Raw genomic sequence first — 18,801 nt, 5'->3', positions numbered from 1 at the left:
TGGCCTGTGTGATTCTTGAGGGAAGGGATGGTCTCTGATTCATTCACCACTCTCCCCAGTGCCCAGCATCCCTTTGCCTATCACAATGCCCAACACAGAGTAGAAAATAAATAGATCATCATGGTATAAATGAATAGTGCATTAGTCAGGAAAGACTTCATAAAGGAGGCAGGATTTTAGTTGTGCTTTGAAGAATATGGAAGACTCAAATAGGTCCTGAGAAAGGAGATGGCAGTTGAAGCAGAGAGAACTTTATGAGCCAAGCAAGCAGGATGCAATGGTGTTGGGTCACCCAGGTCTGTATAGGGAACGAAATGCATCTCAACCCCTGCTTCATACCATACAGAAAAAAAAAAATCAATTCCAGATGGATTACAGATCTCAATGAAAAAGGAAAACAGTCACACTTTGTCCAGACCTCTATCAGCAATACTCTCTAGTTTCCAGGAACTTACACTCTCGCTGGGGAGACAGGTGAATGGGAACAATTGGAGACAGGAAAATCCGGTGAATCGTAAGGCGCTAGACTATGGCGTGCAGCCTTACCAAGATAAATCCCAGTAGTGAAAGACAGGTATTTAATATGTCTTATCTAAAATGCAGCTGCATGAAAAATGCATCAGAAATTCAAGGATAGAATTCTAACAAGGGAGAATTTTAATAATAATTCAATATTAAAATAACTCAACAATAATAAGTAACATTTACAGAGTTCTTAGTATGTATCAGGCACTTCTCTAAGCATCACACCAAATTAACTCATTTGACCTTCACACAACACTAGGAGGATTATTCTTTTCTTATCTCCATATCACAGATGAGGACACCAGGGCAACAAGAGGTTAAGTAATTCAAGGACATTGTCACTCAAGGGACACGAGATCTGGAGTCAGATGACATAAGTTTCTGAGTTGAGGGTCTTTGGGGCAAATGATTTTACTTTTCTGAGCTCTGGATTTGAAAAATAGGAGAGATAAACACTCCATCTACCACGTGTGTGGTTGAATAATATTATGTGAGGAATAAATAAGAGAATGTTTGAACATAGACACACTTTCATACCTTGACATGCAGTACATCTGTGAGTTCTTTCTTTTTTTAACTAACACAATTTTTTTAACTAACACTATTTTTTTTAACTAACACTATTGTGACATTATTTCTTTGGAAAGCAGAAAGCTAAATCAGACTGTTCCACAAATATTTACTGAGCACCTGCTACATGCCAGTCATGGGTCTATACTCTGGTGCTGCAACAGTGAGCAGAGCAAAGCCCCGCCCTCGTGGATCGTCCATTCTAATGGGACTAACAGTAAACATAAAAATAAATAAAAATGTGATAGTGGTAAGATGAATGCAGGGTACGTGATAAGAAGAAAATTAACCCAGCTGGGGGAACAGAGAATGATGGTCATATCATTTTTGTCCTGAATAAGTGAGGAGCCCATCATGCGGATGCAAAACAAGAGCATTCTAGACAGGGGAGCCATGGTGCAAGAGGCCCAGAGGGGAAGTCTGCTTGTTGTATGGAAAGAGAAATCAGGAATCCAGTGTGGCTGAGCAGTCAGATTGTGGAAAGCGGCAGTTGAGCGTAGCAGTCATCACAGACTAAACCAAGAAGGGCCCTGCAGGTGTGGTACCCATGAGATACAGGAAATCCAACCACTGGGCAGTAGTTTGTGCAGTTTGTTCACTAGTCTTATCTGTGAGATTCCTGCCAATCACTACAAACCTTGTACACACACTTGCCCTCCCAACCAAATCAGATGCAGCCTTATAGGCTGTAGTGGACATATGGCTGCGAATACCTTCATTCAATTCATTTATTCTCCAGACATTTACTGGGCACCTGGTGCAAGCCAAAGCCCTGGATGGGCAGTGGAGGTACATTGTGAACAAAATACACATAGTCCGTTCTCCAAGAGCAGACCTCTGCTAGAGAGGGAGATAGGAAGTAAACTGCATCACAGTGACAGAGGCCCTTGTCATCTGGCACCGCTCAAGAGATGAGGCAAGGACAAGGGAAGCTTGGAAAGGCGAAATGCATTCTTCCCCCAGACTCCGAAGCTTCTTTCTCCATGTGCAGTAAGTCCACGGACATAAGCCATTATGTCAGTACTGCCAATTCCAGATCTCAGCTAGTAACGAGCAAATGGATCGTTGCAAACCACAGAAAATCCCCAAACCTCCTTTGAGTCAATAGGTGTGTTCTCTTCCCTCCACAAGCTTTTCAGTAACTACGCTAAGCCCAGCAAAATTGATTATGGCATCACAGGCCTCACCACTTGCTGCTCCCACCACCCTGCCTGCTCTCTGTGGATGTGCTGACCCGGGGCTGGATGGTGCTTGGGTGCATCGGAAACATGAGAGGGTGGACAGGCTGCCTCTGCCTCTGCCTCAGGATACAATGATGAATGCAGCAGCTCTTCAAGGGGCTTTCACACCAGTGGAGGAGACAGGCAAGGAAGCAGGCCACAGGCCTTTCAATGTAGTCCAGGAATGTCGCCATACCAAAGAGTGCGGGGTGCCATGGGAACCAGAAGGAGCTGCCGGCTCAGGATTTGGGGTGATGTGGGGGAAGGGACAGTCTTCAAGGAAGCCTTCCTCAAGGAAATGATGTGTAAACTGAGCACTAAGGCATCAATAGGGAGTATCCAGGGGTGGGCAGAGAGGAGAAGTGATAGAGAAGTGAGTTGGGAAGGACAGCCAGGAAGCACGTGGCAAACGTCCAGAGATAGGAGAGAGCGTGGTGGGTCCTGGGACTTACAACAGGATGTAGTTTCTGAAGATCAAAGCAGCTGTCGAATTGTGGTGGACCCTGTTGACCTTGTCAAAGAGTTTGGACGTCATCCTGTAGGAATGGGGAGGCACTGAGGAGAGGCAGCTCCGATTTCACCTTTTGTAAATCACAGTGACTACAGAGTGGAAGTAATCAGTGGTAGGGAAGAGGGAAGCAGGGGAGCCACTTGGGGGTTGGAGGGTGTTCTGAGAGTGCAGGGAACGGTTGGTAGGGGTCCAGATTCAAGACATGTTAAAGAATTGGCGATTTGCTGGGAGTGGAGATGAAGAGGTAGAAATCAAGGATGACTCCAAGGTTTGCAGCTTGGGAAATGGGCTGGAGGAAGGCATGATTTATTATTGAGCCAGCATAAGAGGATGGGGGAAATGGACACTAAGTTCAGGTTGAGGTTCAGATATCTGTGGGATATTCACGGGGGGACAGCCAGCGCACCAAGAACTCAAGGGAAAGAAGACAGGACTGGGTTGTATATAAAGACTTGTGGGTCATCAGTATGTAAGTGAAAACGGAAGCCAGAGATGAGATTTCTGAGGAACATATGTAGAATGAAAAGAGAAGACAGCCAAAGAGAGAGCCCCAGAAACACCAAATGTACAAGATAATCAGAGGAAGAGGACCTTGCAAAGGAGTCTGAAAATGAACAGGAAGAAAACCAAGCAACCTTGAGGACCCAGACGCCAAGGGAAGACGGCACATCAAGAAAGAAGCCAGGTGGTCAGATTACTCAAATCATGTCAACGGTGCATAGCAAAAGCTGTAGGGGCATGTGTAGATGCTGACTGTAGGGACATGTATAGAAATGCCTCCCACACTAGCACTTGAGGGAGAAAGGTATTAGAAACCTTTGCATTTTGCTTTTTCATTACTCCCTGCTGTGCATGAAAGTACAGGTGTGAAATCCAAGATTCATTTACTGCAGTGTTCCCCAAAGAGTGATCCAAAGATTGTAGCCCCGTGAGATGAAAGACACACATGCACACACACACACACACACACACACACACACACAGAGAGCCTGTAATGAAATGAACTTTTGGAAACATTGAGCACTATATTCCCACATTAGAGTTTGACAATGCAGTTAGCATAGTAAAGGCACAGAAAAGCCCTGAGGTAAGGAAACCTATTTAACCTCCCCTTGTTCAGCATTTCCCAAACTTACTTGCCAGTGGAACCCCTTTATTTTGTATCTCCTCTTAGCATCTCCTGGGGCTGGAATCAGCAGAATGAACTTTGGAAATCACAGCATTAGCGGGAAAGGATGTGTCTAATGGATGAAATACCTGCAGCCGGTAAACCACTGGTAAAAAGCATCCTCTCCCAAGCTTAGGACAAAAGACTTCTTTGGTCTGGGTTCTCTCATTCATTCATTGAGCTAAAACATATCAGGCATCTGCTAAGTGGTAGCAAGCTGGAAGGTGGTGGAGGGGGTATGTTTGGGAAAGTGAGGATTGAGGAGCGTGGGAAGCACATTCTTTGGACATGTGTTGTGTGCTCGTGGTGGAGCGTATGACCAGCCAAATAACCAGGCGGATGCTGGCCAAGTGAGAGGGTTGTGGGAAGAGGCATAACCAGGAGGTGGCCTCTCTCCTCCAAGAAGTTATGAGATTTCCAGGGACGATAAACTATGAATGTACGGAAGATATTGGCTGGTAAAAACAATGAAGAAAACTAGTAAGGATCTCAGGGACTTAGGAGGCTAGAGTCTTTTACTCCAGGCAGAGTAGAAGATTATTCTCAATGTGGTTGTAGTCAATACCATTTATTAAGCATCTACTATGTGCCAGGCACCTTATGTTATACTAATATAGTAATGGCTGACATTTAATGAATCCCTACTATGCATAAAGTACTCTTCTAAGTCCATTACAAATATTAGCTGGCCTATCCTTCCAATACCCCAGTAGATACTTATCATTGTATTCTCCAATAAAGAATGTAAGGCACTAAGAGGTGACATGTCTTACCCGAGGTCATGGCTAGTAAGTGGCAGCCCTGAGATTTGAACCCACACAGGCTGGTTCTTCCAGATATTATACTCTTATGCATTACATTCTATATCTAATAAAATGTCCTACTGATACTTGAACTTGGATTGCTGGAGTCTGCAGCTAAAGTGCTTACCATTAAGCCCTGGAACCACCCACATTATTTATGCTCTTTAATCTTCACAACCATGTTTTGACATTGGTGTTATTAACCCGGTTTACAGAGGAGGCTCAGGGTATCCACACAACTCATAGCCAGCAGCACTGACACTCCTGAATTCGTGGAGTCTGATGCTGAAACTCATGGTCCCAGGTCTCTACTCCCTTGTCCCCGAGACGGCTATCATTTTTACAGGCTGGAATTGGGGATGATGGTCAGCAGATTTCACAACTGCTGAGGCCTCGGTCCTGACCAGACAGAACAGACGCCGGCCACAGTGCTAGAACAACAGCCTGGAGACCCGCGGCTGGTCAGACTCCCACACTTTAGTTGCTGGGGAGGCTCAAGAGATCCCAGTGGAGGGGCTGGAGGGACCAAAGCAGTGGGCAGAAGGGGCATTTCGGGGTGCTTGGACAGCAGGCATTTTATCAACTCATATTTGACTATTGATGTAGCTATATCAGTACCTGCCTGCCTGATGTCAGTCCTGGCCAGGATCACAAACACAGCTGTTTACCAGTTCCTGGCAGCCTTGAGCTTCATTGCCCTTGGACTCTGGGCCAAGTGGGCTTAAAGGCAGTTCCCCTGTCCAACATTTGCCTCTGAAGAGTCTGCACCTGACCTGGGGTCATAGCCCTGAGTCTCAAATAGGTCAGGTTCATTTGCATCATTCTGTGGTCACATGCTGCAGCCACAATCCTAGCATATGCAGAGTTCCAAGCACAGAATGGGCCGGGACCCTCCATCACCTCTACCAGAAATGCCAAAAAGCAGTGCCCTTGAGCCCGAATCTATAGAGGGCAGCTCTCAAGGCTGGGAGGCACCATCCCAGCCCCCGCAGTCCCTTGACAGCGCTGCAGATCCCCACACACAACACCCTTAAGTAGCTCCTAATTGAAGGGCTTGCCAAGCCCTCTGTGCATTGTGGATCTAATTAAGTTCCGACATCATATCAAATTGAATCCTTTTATTAAACATTTATCTTCAGATTCCAGAGTGTCACAACACCACATTGTTTTAAATGACAGGAATGCAAACAGTGTTTGCCTTCCCAATGGCAACTAAAGCAGCCACTGCTGACCAGAGCCACGGGGAGTAGGGAGGTGGGGAGTAGCCTTGGGGGTCTTCCCCGTGCCCACTCTTCCTAAGCGAGGGTGGCAGAGGCCTTGGCGGTCTCCCCAAGAACCCCTACCTCTCCCACACATATGCAACAACTGGTGCAACCAACTCAGCCTCCCTGACCTTGGTCTTCGCTGAGCTGTCTGGATCAGCTGCAACTTCTCTCAGTAACTTTCCTTGTCCCATGGAAGCCCCATTCCTCCTGGGGATTGTGGTAGGAGGTGGCCCCGCTTTCTCATCTGCTTCTCTGTGGACAGGCTGGCTTTGGGGGTCACTCCTCTGTCCTCCCCTGCCCCTCATCTGTGAAGATTTCAGAGCAAAGATTCTGGCCTTCTCATCCTGATCTGCCTCCCTGGCACAGAGAAGGCTTCCAAAGTGTTTTTATTCAATTAGTCAATCACTCATTAAAGACTAACTCTTGCCCTCAGCTTTGTAGTCTCAATACCACTCTTTACACTTGTCCCAGGGACCATCACGGTCTGGGGGACTGATTCCTCCCAATCACGCTCTGGGGAGCTGATTCCTCCCAATCACGCTCTACGGGGCTGACTCCTCCCAATCACGCTCTGGGGAGCTGATTCCTGCCCAATCACGCTCTAAGCGGCTGATTCCTGCCCAATCACGCTCTAAGGGGCTGATTCCTCCCAATCACGCTCTGGGGAGCTGATTCCTGCCCAATCACGCTCTAAGGGGCTGATTCCTCCCAGTCACTCTCTGGGGGACTGATTCCTGCCTGATGACATTCTGGGATACTGATTCCTGCCGGATCACACTCTGGGAAACTGATTTCCTCCCTGATCACACACTGGGGGACTTATTCCTCCCAATCACACTCTGGGGTGCTGATTCCTGCCTGACCGTGCTCCGGGAGGCTCTCTGAGGGGACTGATCCCTGCCTGATCACGCTCTGGGAGACTGATTCCTGCCCGGTCACGCTCTGGGGGGCTGATTCCTGCCTGATCATATTCTGGGGGGTTGATTTCCTGCCTGATCATGCTCTGGGGGCTGATTCCTCCCTGTCATGGTTTGCGGGGCTGATTCCTGCTCGATCAAACTCTGGGGAACTGATTCGTCCTGATCATGCTCTGGGGGACTGATTCCTGCCTGATCACATTCTGGGGGGTTGATTCCTGCCTGATCATGCTCTGTTGGCTGATTCCTCCCAATCATGCTCTGGGGGGCTGATTCCTGCCCGATCACGCTCTGGGGGGTTGATTCCTGCCCGATCACGCTCTGGGGGGCTGATTCCTGCCCAATCACGCTCTGGGGGGCTGATTCCTCCCGATCACGCTCTGGGGGGCTGATTCCTGCCCGATCACGCTCTGGGGGGCTGATTCCTGCCCAATCACGCTCTGGGGGGCTGATTCCTGCCCGATCACACTCTAGGGGGTTGATTCCTCCTGATCACGCTCTACGGGCTGATTCCTGCCCGATCACACTCTAGGGGGTTGATTCCTGCCGGATCACGCTCTGGGGGGCTGATTCCTCCCGATCACGCTCTGGGGGGCTGATTCCTGCCCGATCACGCTCTGGGGGGCTGATTCCTGCCCGATCACACTCTAGGGGGCTGATTCCTGCTCAATCATGCTCTGCGGGGCAGATTCCTGCCCGATCACACTCTGGGGGTGCTGATTCCTGCCCGATCACACTCTGGGGGGCTGATTCCTGCTCAATCACGCTCTGGGGGTGCTGATTCCTGCCCGATCACGCTCTGGGGCTGCTGATTCCTGCCTGATCACGCTCTAAGGAGCTGATTCCTGCCCGATCACACTCTAGGGGGCTGATTCCTGCCGATTAGACTCACAAGAGACTCACATATCCATATACATGAACGGCTTCTGAGGCAGAATCCTCTCTCCTGGGGTGAGGGACAGTGCTGAGAAAAACCAGAGGCTCTGCAGGTGAGAGGTCACCTGGAAACACTGAGAGTCACATTTTATTCATTCTTTTTCTAGATTTGATAATGCCAGGCCTTCCTGTGATAACAACAACAATAATAATTAACAATAGCTAGCAGGTACTGAGAGCTCACTGCATGTACTGTTCAAAGAGCTCACATGTAGATTAACTTAGTTAACCCTCACAAGAAACTGTGAAATAGGTAATGATATTATTCCAGTTTACAGTAAGGAAACTGAGGCTCAAAGAGGTTAAATATATGTTCATAACATCAGGTTCATTTGAAAAAAAAAAAAAGATGTTGAGGAATTTGCCCAAGGCAAATACACACCCAGGTAGTCTGATAGCATCAGTCCTGAGTCCCTATTAAAAATAATGGCTAACATTTATCACCTCTATGAACCTCCAGTTTCTCACCTGTAGAACAGGCTCATTAATAGAACCTACCCAAGGGGTTGATGTGATGAGTACATCAGATGATATATGAAGCATTGGGACAGAGAGGATTTTTAAAGTCTCCCATATCTACTGAGAGAGAGAGAACAGAAAGTATTCAGTTCAATCCCTGTCCTCGATGCAATTCCGTTAGGAAAATGACACACAAGCTTGTGAAATCTGAAATAAGACAAGACAGCAATACAAGAGATGTCATGGGGTAGCCTGTGGTAAATTGCCAGCTGAGTGATCTTAGAGGTAAAGGCAGTGATGAAAGGAGGGAGAGGCAGCTCGGGCTGTGAGGATCAGGGAAGGCTTCTTAGAATCCCTGCTTCCAAGGGATAGAAGGAACCTCAGAATCCCAGCTACTGTAGAAATTCTCTCTTCAGCATCCCTAAGAGGCAGCTGAACCCCCTCTGTTGGTACCCCTCCAGTGACAGGTAGCTCACTACCTTGGGAGGCAGCTCTGAAAACACAACACTTACCCGGATATCAACCTGACCTCTCCTTCCCTACACAGGGCCCAACTAGGGTAAAGCAAGCAAGGTGCAAAGTTGGAGATGCTTACGGGACTCCTTAAATTTTGCACCCTAGATGTCTCACCCTAGTCTCGGGTCTACCTGTACATTACCACCTGTGGCTTCTAGCTCTGCTGTCCAGAGTGAAATGGGTGTTGTTTTAGGTGGAGAAGAGAGGAGAGCTTAATTCGGCTGGGAGAGCATGATGGCAGAGTCAGAGCTGAGAAGATGAGAGTTTTGGATCTGATTGGATCTAGCTGGGAATCCTGGTTCTATGTGACAGGCAATGGAGGCAATGGAAATCTTTGAGATTTCTGAGCAGGGGTGTGTCTTTGGCCTGGAAATGGGAATGTGGCTACATGGGCATCCTCAGGCCTGTGGGTCCTCGTTGCACGAGCTATTTCCGCTCTCATGGGTTAATGGTGTAGGTGGTGTTTGAGCACTCTGGCTTGACTCTATGCCACAAAACTGAATATACATATGTGATTAAAATGGACCAAGGGGACCAGGTGCAGTGGCTCACATCTGTAATCCCAGCACTTCGGGAGGCTGAGAGGTGAAAGAATCACTTGAGCCCAGCCTGGGAAACGTGATGAAACCCTGTCTCTACAAAAAATACAAAAATTAGCTGAGCATGATTGCGCGTGTCTGTAGTCCCAGCTACTCAGGAGGCTGAGATGGGAGGATCACCTGTCACCTGAGCCTGGGGAGTGCAAGGCTGCAGTGAGCCGTGATTGTGCCACTGTACTCTGGCTGGGGTGACAGAGCAAGTCCCTGGCTCAAAAAAAGAAAAGGGCCAAGACAGGTTTGGGGAAATCTGTGGTTAGAAAATTAAGGTATATTTTGCCAAGTAGGAAAGGCCACAAGCATTTTTCACCCGATGGAGGAATCTGGGCCCATGGCTTCTGGTCTTGCCCCTCCAGTCCTTTCCCCACTCAGCCACCAGGGCAAACAGATCTGGTCACATTAACCTCCTACTTAAAACCCCTCAGTGGCTCCCCATTGCTCGTAAGTTCACACATATACACTCACAGACATACACACACACCACACACATACAAACACACCACACACAGACATACACATAATACCTACACACACCCATATAAACACATACACACATATACACACACATGCATACACACACCACAGACACACACACAGACTCACACACAGACATACACACGTACACATACATACACACACACAGAGACCCACAGACACACACATCACACAGACATACACACACACATACATACAAACACATACACACACACACACACACACACGCACAGCCCAACCGTCTGGTTTCCGTCCTCTAAATGACACTTCTGGCTTCAGCATCCTGTCCTCTCTCTGGTTGGCCCTCACTTGCTCTTCTCTCAAACACCTCCCTGCCCTCCCTTTCATCTGCCAATTTTTACTTATCCTTCACGGCTCATCCGAGATGGTGCTTCTTCCAGGAAGCCTTCCTGACAACCTGCCAGTACCCAGATTATGCCATGCACTGTCCCTACTACCCAGCATCCTGTACTGTGCTGTAACAGTGCAGCCCAGCAGTCACCTAGAACCTCCTGCCCGGGGTCAGAGCCCAGCTCTTTCACTTACACGAGCAATGAATCTTTAGAGGCGTTCCTTCACCCCTCTGTCCCTCCACTTCCATATCTCTAATGTACGGAGACTAATAGCGTCCACCTCAACAGGCTTGTTGTAAAGTGCTTGGCCCCATGCCTGGCTCATGGCAGCTTGTTCCCGGCGACCAGCCAACGCCCTCGCTGCCCTTGTGGTTTCATTCTGGGTCGTCTGCATTAATTATTTGTCTAGGGTCCTCTCAAGACTCAGCTCTGGGGGACGGGGAATCCGTCTGTATTGATCCCTTCTCTGCTGTGGAACCTAGCTCAACACCAACACCTAGTAACCACTTGATAAAAATTCAAGGACGAGCTGAAGTACTGAACTGAAAGATGAACACCTTGTCCGAGAGCACATGGTTAATACACGGCAGAAAGAGAACTCAGACCCACGCTCTCCTGCGAGAGGCACAGCCACCACACCACAGGGCTTCTTAAGATGAATTTAGGGCTGTTGACACATGACAGTGTTTATTCATTATCCGCCTACTCCAGGGACTCTGGGGTTGACAGAGTCATTTGAACCATCCTGTTTCATAGGATCTAAGTGCATGCGGTTCCCATAGCTCCTTGGGCAGGCTCTCTTGGCACAGCAGAGTGTAATCACCGGTCTCTCCCCTACTAGTCTGTGAGCTTCTTCAAAGTAGAGACTGTGTGATCTATCTGTGCCCCGACCGTGGGGCCCAGCAAAACATAATCACACCTACCTCTTAGCGAGCTAGGTGACAGCCACTGTGCTGAGCCCTCTCAATGCAGTGTTTTATGCAATTCTCACAACTCTATGACAGAAGTTTAACTGACTCCTCATTTTACAGTGGAGGAGCCAACGCTCAGGTTCAGTGGCATAACTAGAATGTGGACCCAGGTAGCCAGCCTCCAGACCCTGTGAAGCTAACCACTGAGCATCACTGCCTCTCTCATACAGGCAGACTTGGGAGATACTGAGGATTCGGTTCTGGATCACCACAATACACCAGATATCATAACATAGTGAGTCACACAAATTTTTTGGTTTCCTAGTGCATATAAAAGTTATGTTGGGGCCGGGCATGGTGGCTCATGCCTTTAATCCCAGCACTTTGGGAGGCCAAGGTGGGTGAATCACTTGAGGCCAAGGGTTCGTGACCAGCCTGGCCAACATGGTGAAACCCCATCTCTACTAAAAACACAAAAAGTAGCCGGGCATGGTGGTGGGCACCTATAGTCCCAGCTACTCAGGAGGCTGAGGCAGGAGAATTGCTTGAACCCAGGAGACAGAGGTTGCAGTGAGCTGAGATCATGCCACTGCACTCCAGCCTAGGCAAAAAAGTGAGAATCTGTCTCAAAAAAAAAGTTATGTTGGGCCAAGGGCAGTGGCTTACACCTGTAATCCCAACATTTTGAGAGGCTGAGGCAGGAGGATTGCTTAAGCCCAGGAGTTTGAGACCAGTCTGGACAACATAGTGAGACCCCCATCTCTACAAATAAAAAATCAGCCAGTCGTGGTGACACATATCTGTGGTCCCAGCTGCTCAGGAGACTGAGGTGGGAGGATTGCTTAAGTCCAGGAGGTCAAGGCTGCAGTGAGCTATAATTGTGCCATTTCACTCCAACCTGGGTGACCGAGTGAGATTCTGTCTCAAAAAATATATGTTATGTTTACACTATACTGTAGTCTATTAAGTGTGCAATAGCATTATGTCTGAGAAAACAATGTACATACATAATTTTAACATATTTTATTGCTAAAAATGCTACTGACCATCTGAGCCTTCAGTGTGCCATCATCTTTTTGCTGATGGAGGGTCTTGCCTCGATGTTGATAGCTGCTGATTGACCAGGGTGGTGGTTGCTGAAGGTTGGGGTGGTTGTGCCAATTTCTTAAACTAAGACAACAATGTAGTTTGCCACATCAATTGATTCTTCCTTTCGCAAAAGATTTCTGTATAGCAAGTGATATTGTTTGATATATTTTTATCCACAGTTGAACTTCTTTCAAAGTTGCAATCAATCTTCTCAAACCCTGCTGCTGCTTTATCAACTAACTTTATATCATCTTCTAAATACTTTATCATCATTTCAGTGATGTTCACAGCATCTTCAACAGGAACAGATTCCATCTCAGGAAACCACTTTCTTTGCTTATCCATAAAAAGCCACCTCTCATCCACTCAAGTTTTATCATGAGATTGCAGCAATTCACTCACATCTTCAGGCTTCACTTCTAATTCTAGCTGTTTTCCTATTTCCAGAACATCTGAATTACTTCCTCTTCTGAAATCTTGAACCCCTGAAAGTCATCTATAAGGGTTGGAACCAATTCTTCCAAATTCCTGTTAATGTTGATACTTTGACCTCCTCCCATGAATCACAAATGTTCTTATTGGCATCTAGAATGTTGAGTCCTTTCTAGAAGATTTTTTTATTTACTTTGCCCAGATCCATCAGAGGAATCACTGTCTCTGGCAGCTATAGCCTTATGAAATGTATTTCTTAAATAATAAGACTTCCAAGTCAAAATTACTTCTTGATCCATGGGCTGCAAAATAGATGTTGTGTTAGCAGGCATGAAAACAACATTCATCTCCTTATACATCTCCATCAGAGCTCTTGAGAACCAGGTGCATGGTAAATGAGCAGTAATATTTGGAAATCTTTCTGAGCAGTAGATCTTAATAGCGGGCTTAAAATATTCAGTAAACCATCCCATAAATAGATATGCTGCATGTAGGCTTTTTTGTCTCATTTATAGAGCACAGGTAGAGTAGATTTAGCATACTTCTTAAGGGCTCTAAAATTTTTAGAATGGTAAATGAACCTTGGCCTCAACTTAAAGTCACCAGTTGCATTAGCCCCTATCAAGAGAGTTAGCCTGTCTTTTGAAGCTTTGAAGCCAACCATTGACCTCTCTTGCTATGAAAATCCTAGATGGCATCTTCTTCCAATAGAAAGCTGTTGCATCTACCTTGAAAATTTGTTGTTTAGTGTGGCCACCTTCATCAATGATCTTAACCAGATCTTCTGGATGATTTGTTGCAGCTTCTCCATCAGCACTTGCCCCTTCACCTTGCACTTTTCTGTTATGGAGACAGCTTCTTTCTTAAACCTCATGAACCAACCTCTGCTAGCTTCCAGCTTTTCTTCTGCAGCTTCCTCACCTCTCTTAGCCTTCATACAATTGAAGAGAGTTAGGGCCTTACTCTGGATTAGGCTTTGGCTTAAGGGAATGTTGTGTCTGGTTTGATCTATCCAGACTGCTCAAAGTTTCTCCATATCAGCAAATATATTTCACTTTCTTATCATTCATAGAGAGTAGCACTTTTAACTTCCCTTAATAACTTTCCCTTTGCATTCATATCTTGGCTAACTGTTTGACTTAAGAGGCCTAGCTTTCAGCTTGTCTGGGCTTATGACATGCCTTCCTCACTAAGCTTAATTGTTTCTAGCTTTTGATTTAAAGTGAGATATGTTCAACTCTTCCTTTCACTTGAACTCTTAGAGGCCATTGTAGGGTTATTAATTGCCCTAATTTCAGTATTGTCATGTCTTAGAGAATAGGGGGGTCCAAGGAGAGGGGGAGAAACAGGGACATGGCCAACTGGTGGAACAGTCAGAACATACATAGCATTTATCAATTAAGTTCGTCATCTTATATAGTGCAGTTCTTGGCACTCCAAAACAATTACAATGGTAACATCCAAGATCACTGATCACAGATCGCCATAACAGATGTAATAATAATGAAGAAGTAGTCCGGGCGCAGTGGCTCACGCCTGTAATCCCAACACTTTGGAAGGCTGAGGCAGGCGGATCACCTGAGGTCAGGAGTTCAAGACCAGCCTGGCCAACATGGCGAAACCCCGTCTCTACTAAAAATACAAAAATTAGCTGGGCGTGGTGGCGGGTGCCTGTAATCCCAGCTACTCGGCTAGCTGAGGCAAGAGAATCGCTTGAACCTAGGAGGCAAAGGTTGCAGAGAGCCGAGATCGCACCACTGCACTCCAGCCTGGGTGACAGAGCAAGATTCTGTCTCAAAAAATATATATATATATATTTTTAGAATGTGTTTAATAATAAATACATATAAAAGACTATTTTAACAAACAACAAAATGAAAGGGCAATGTACAGATTGGGAAACACATTTGCAAACCATATATTAGATAAGGGTTAATATCTGAGTTTTTAAACATATATTCTTGTTTAAACTAAAGTCTCAATATCCAAGATTTATAAAGAACACATACAACTCAATAGCAAGAAAATGTATAACACAATTTAAAAATGAGCAGAGGACTTTAATAGGCATTTCTCCAAAGATGACATTAAAATGGCCAATAGGTAAATGGAAAAGTGTCCAACGTCACTAATCTTCAGGGAAGTGCCAATCAAAATGACTGTGAGATACCACTTCTCACCCGTTAGGAGAGCTATTATCAAAAGACATGAGATAACGAGTGTCGGCGAGGGTGTGGAGAAAAGGGAATCCTCGCACACTGTTAGGTGGGAATGTAGGTTGATGCCACCATTATGGAAAATAGTATGGAGTTTCCTCAAAAAAAAATAAAAATAGAACTCCCATATGACCCAGCAATATGTCTTCTGGTATATACCCAAAGGAAATGAAATCACCACCTTGTAATGATACCTACACTCCCCAGGCGCAGTGGCTCACGCTTGTAATCTCAGCCCTTCAGGAGGCCGAGGCGCATGGATCACAAGGTCAGGAGTTCGAGACCAGCCTGGCCCACATGGCGAAACCCTCTCTCTACTAAAAATACAAAAATTAGCCAGGCGTAGTGGCAGGCGCCTGTAATTTGGGAGCCTGAAGCATGAGAATCGCTTGAACCCAGGAGGCGAAGGTTGCAGTGAGCCAAGAGTGTGCCATTGCACTCCAGCCTAGGCAACAAAGGGAGACCCTGTCCCAAAAAAAAATAAAAAATAAAAAAGGTATCTACACTCCCATGTTCATTGCAGCAATACTCACAATAGCCAAAATATGGAAACAATCTAGATGTCCATCAATGGATGAATGAATAAAGAAACTGTGGTGTTTACATACAATGGAATATTATTTCTGATTCAGCCTTTAAAAAGGGAGAGATCTGTCATTTGCCACAACATGCATGAAACTGGAGGACAATACGCTAAGTGAAATAAGCCAGACACAGGAAGAAAACTATTTTATGACTCCACTCATATGTGGAATCTTTACCAAAAAAAAAAGTCAAATATCAAGTATGTAGAGATAGAGAATAAAACAGTGGTTACCAAGATCTGGGGTGAGAGGGAAGAAATGGAGAGATATAGGTCAAAGGATTCAAAGTAGCAAATATACAGGGTGAACAAGTCCAGAGCTCTAATGTACAACATGGGGACTATTGTTAATAATATTGTATTGTATTCAGGATTTTTGCTAAATGAGATTATAGCTGCTCCTGGCACACAGGGAAAAACTGGGTACTATGTGAGATGATGGATGTGTTAGTTTTTCCACTATAGCAACCATTTTGCTGTATATATGTAATCATACAACATCATGTTGGATACCTTAAAGTATACACAATAAAATGCACTTAAAAAAAATTTTAGGCCGGGAGCGGTGGTTCATGCCTATAATCTCAGCACTTAGGGAGGCCAGGGCGGGCAGATCACCTGAGGTTGGGAGTTCCAGACCAGCCTGGCCAACATAGTAAAACTCCATCTCTACCAAAAATACAAAAGTTAGCCAAGCTTGGTGGTGCGTGTCTGTAATTCCAACTACTCAGGAGGCTGAGGCACAAGAATCGCTTGAACTCGGGAGGCAGAGTTTGCAGTGAGCCAAGATCACACCACTGCACTCCAGCCTTGGCAACAGAGCAAGACTCCGTATCAAAAAAAAAAAAACAAATTTAAAAATCAAGCTTTTTTAAAGACTATTTTAACTTGTACAGGTTATGTTCATTAGGATTAGGCTTGGCTATAAAGTTTCCCGCATTTTTTTTTTTGTTTTTTTGGTTTATTTACCTAAAATTAAAAAGACAGGACGGGTGTGGTGGCATGCACCTGTAGTCCCAGCTACTCAGGAGACTGAGGCAGGAGGATCATTTAAGCCCAAGAGTTCGAGGTCACAGTGAGCTATGATCATGCCACTGCACTCCAATCTGGGTGACAAAGCAAGAACCTGTCTCTAAAAAAATTAAAAGTAAGAAAATAAAGATAGTTGATAGTTTATTTCTTTCTCGTTGCACAGCTCTGGAGATAAGTTATCCAAGACTGGTATAACACTCCATGGGAGTGTGGCTCAGATACCCTTTATCTTATTCTACCATCATGCAGCTCTCCATTCTCAAGATTGTCTCATTGACCAAGATGGCGGCTGGAGCTCCTTAGTCCACTTGCCAAGAGGAAAGGACTGAGAAGGGCACATCCCATGCCCTAAAGGCCATTCCTCCCAAGTTGTTCCCATCATTTCCACTCACATCCCATTGGCCAGAACTTTGTCACATGACCACCTCCAGCTGCAAGCGAGGCTGGGAACTAAAGCCTACGTTCTGGGAAGCCATATGTCCAGGCAAAACTTGAAAAGAACAAGACATATTTGGAAACAGCCTCTGTCACAGCAGGGAATAAAGAATAACAATAAAATGAAGAGTGCCTATGCACTCATTACGAAGTTAAAAAATAGAGCATTCCTAGGACATTGAAGCAGTTGTGTGCCCTACCCTATCTCAAGAAAACATTCTTTTTTTTTTCTTTGAGACAGGGTCTTCCTCTGTCACACAAACTGGAGTGCAGTAGCATGATCATGGCTCACTGCAGCCTCAACCTCCCAGGCTCTAGCAGTCCTCCTGCCTCAGCATCCCGAGTAGCTGGGACTACAGGTGTGCACCACCATGCTTGGCTAATTTTTTATTTTTTTGTAGAGACAGGATTTCGCCATGTTGCCCAGGCTGGGTTGGAACTCCTGGGCTCATGCGATCCTCCCACCTCCACCTCCCAAAGTGCAGGGATTACAGGTGTGAGCCACCACGCCCAGCTGCAAACACTCTTAAACTTGATGTTTATCATTCCCTTGCTTGACTTTACAGTTTTGCCACATACACATGTATTTCTAAATAATCTATAACATGTTTTTAACTTAATGAAAATGGAATCATACCATATGCATTTTTCTGCAGCTTGATTTTTTTCTGTCCAGTGTTATGTTTGTGGAATTCATCTGGGTTGACTTGTGTAGCTGTAATTCACTAACTTTCACTGCTGTACACTACATTACATCAATATACTATGCTATCATTTCTCCGATAATAGAAATCTGGGCTATTCCAAGTTTGTTGTTGTTATAAGCAGTGCTGTTATGAACATTCTCATACATCGTGTGCATGTATGCAAGTGTTTCTTCAACACACATTTCTAAGCAGAATTGCTGAGTTGCAGGCTATACGTATGTTTTGATATATTCAAATAGATTTGGATTGGGGGCAGGGTCTCACTCTGTCACCCAGGCTGGAGTGCAGTGACATGATCTTGGCTCACTGCAACCTCCGCCTCCCAGGTTCAAGCAATCTCCCACCTCAGCCTCCCGAGTAGCTGGGACTACAGGCGCGTGCCACCACACTTGGCTAATTTTTGTATTTTGGGTACAGACAGGGTTTCACCATGTTGGCCAGGCTGGTCTAGAACTCCTGATCTCAAGTGACCTGCCCACCTTGGCCTCCCAAAGTGCTGGGATTACAGGCGTGAGCCACCGTGCTCGGCCAGATATAGTCAAATAGGTGTCTTTTGTTTGTTCGTTTGTTTGTATTTTTGTTTTTGGGGAGTTGTTTTGTTTTGTTTTTAGACGGATTCTTGCTCTTGTCACCAAGGCTGGAGTACAATGGCACAATCTCGGCTCACTGCAACCTCTGCCTCCTGGGTTCAAGTGATTCTCAGGCCTCAGCCTCCCGAGTAGCTGGGATTACAGGCCCCCGCCACCAAGCCCGGCTAATTTTTGTATTTTTAGTAGAGACAGGGTTTCACCATGTTGGCCAGGCTGGTCTTGAACTCCTGACCTCAGGTGATCTGCCCACCTCGGCCTCCCAACGTGCTGGGATTATAGGCATGAACCACCATGCCTGGCCAGGTATAGTCAAGTAGGTTTTTCATAAGAGAAGTGCAAAAGATCTTGGTGCCCCAGGGATTCTAATATTTGGCATGATGCTCAACTGTTTAGGTGAATGGAAATGTGTAGTACAGTCGCTGGACACCCACACACACTAACTCATTCATTTATTTATTTGTTCAATAAACTT

General features: G+C 45.9%; 1 protein-coding gene across 3 annotated transcripts in view, besides 3 other annotated features; it reads left to right on the top strand.

Moving 5' to 3' along the window:
- Positions 1-18,801, top strand: part of CACNG2 (calcium voltage-gated channel auxiliary subunit gamma 2) — a 142,896-nt gene that overhangs the window by 86,787 nt on the left and 37,308 nt on the right. The gene's annotated exons all lie outside the window — the stretch shown is intronic.
- Positions 6,127-6,791: an enhancer, noted in NCBI's record as "OCT4-NANOG-H3K27ac-H3K4me1 hESC enhancer chr22:37006222-37006886 (GRCh37/hg19 assembly coordinates)". NCBI's record gives its function as "activates a minimal SCP1, AML or CMV promoter by ChIP-STARR-seq in primed H9 embryonic stem cells {active_cell/tissue: H9 hESC(primed)}" and the evidence as "EXISTENCE:reporter gene assay evidence [ECO:0000049][PMID:30033119]".
- Positions 6,792-7,455: an enhancer, noted in NCBI's record as "OCT4-NANOG-H3K27ac-H3K4me1 hESC enhancer chr22:37005558-37006221 (GRCh37/hg19 assembly coordinates)". NCBI's record gives its function as "activates a minimal SCP1, AML or CMV promoter by ChIP-STARR-seq in primed H9 embryonic stem cells {active_cell/tissue: H9 hESC(primed)}" and the evidence as "EXISTENCE:reporter gene assay evidence [ECO:0000049][PMID:30033119]".
- Positions 7,456-8,120: an enhancer, noted in NCBI's record as "OCT4-NANOG-H3K27ac-H3K4me1 hESC enhancer chr22:37004893-37005557 (GRCh37/hg19 assembly coordinates)". NCBI's record gives its function as "activates a minimal SCP1, AML or CMV promoter by ChIP-STARR-seq in naive and primed H9 embryonic stem cells {active_cell/tissue: H9 hESC(naive and primed)}" and the evidence as "EXISTENCE:reporter gene assay evidence [ECO:0000049][PMID:30033119]".

Source organism: Homo sapiens, chromosome 22, assembly GCF_000001405.40.
Source record: "Homo sapiens chromosome 22, GRCh38.p14 Primary Assembly".
Taxonomy (NCBI): Eukaryota; Metazoa; Chordata; class Mammalia; order Primates; family Hominidae; genus Homo; species Homo sapiens.
This window is presented reverse-complemented; position numbering and strand designations above follow the sequence as displayed.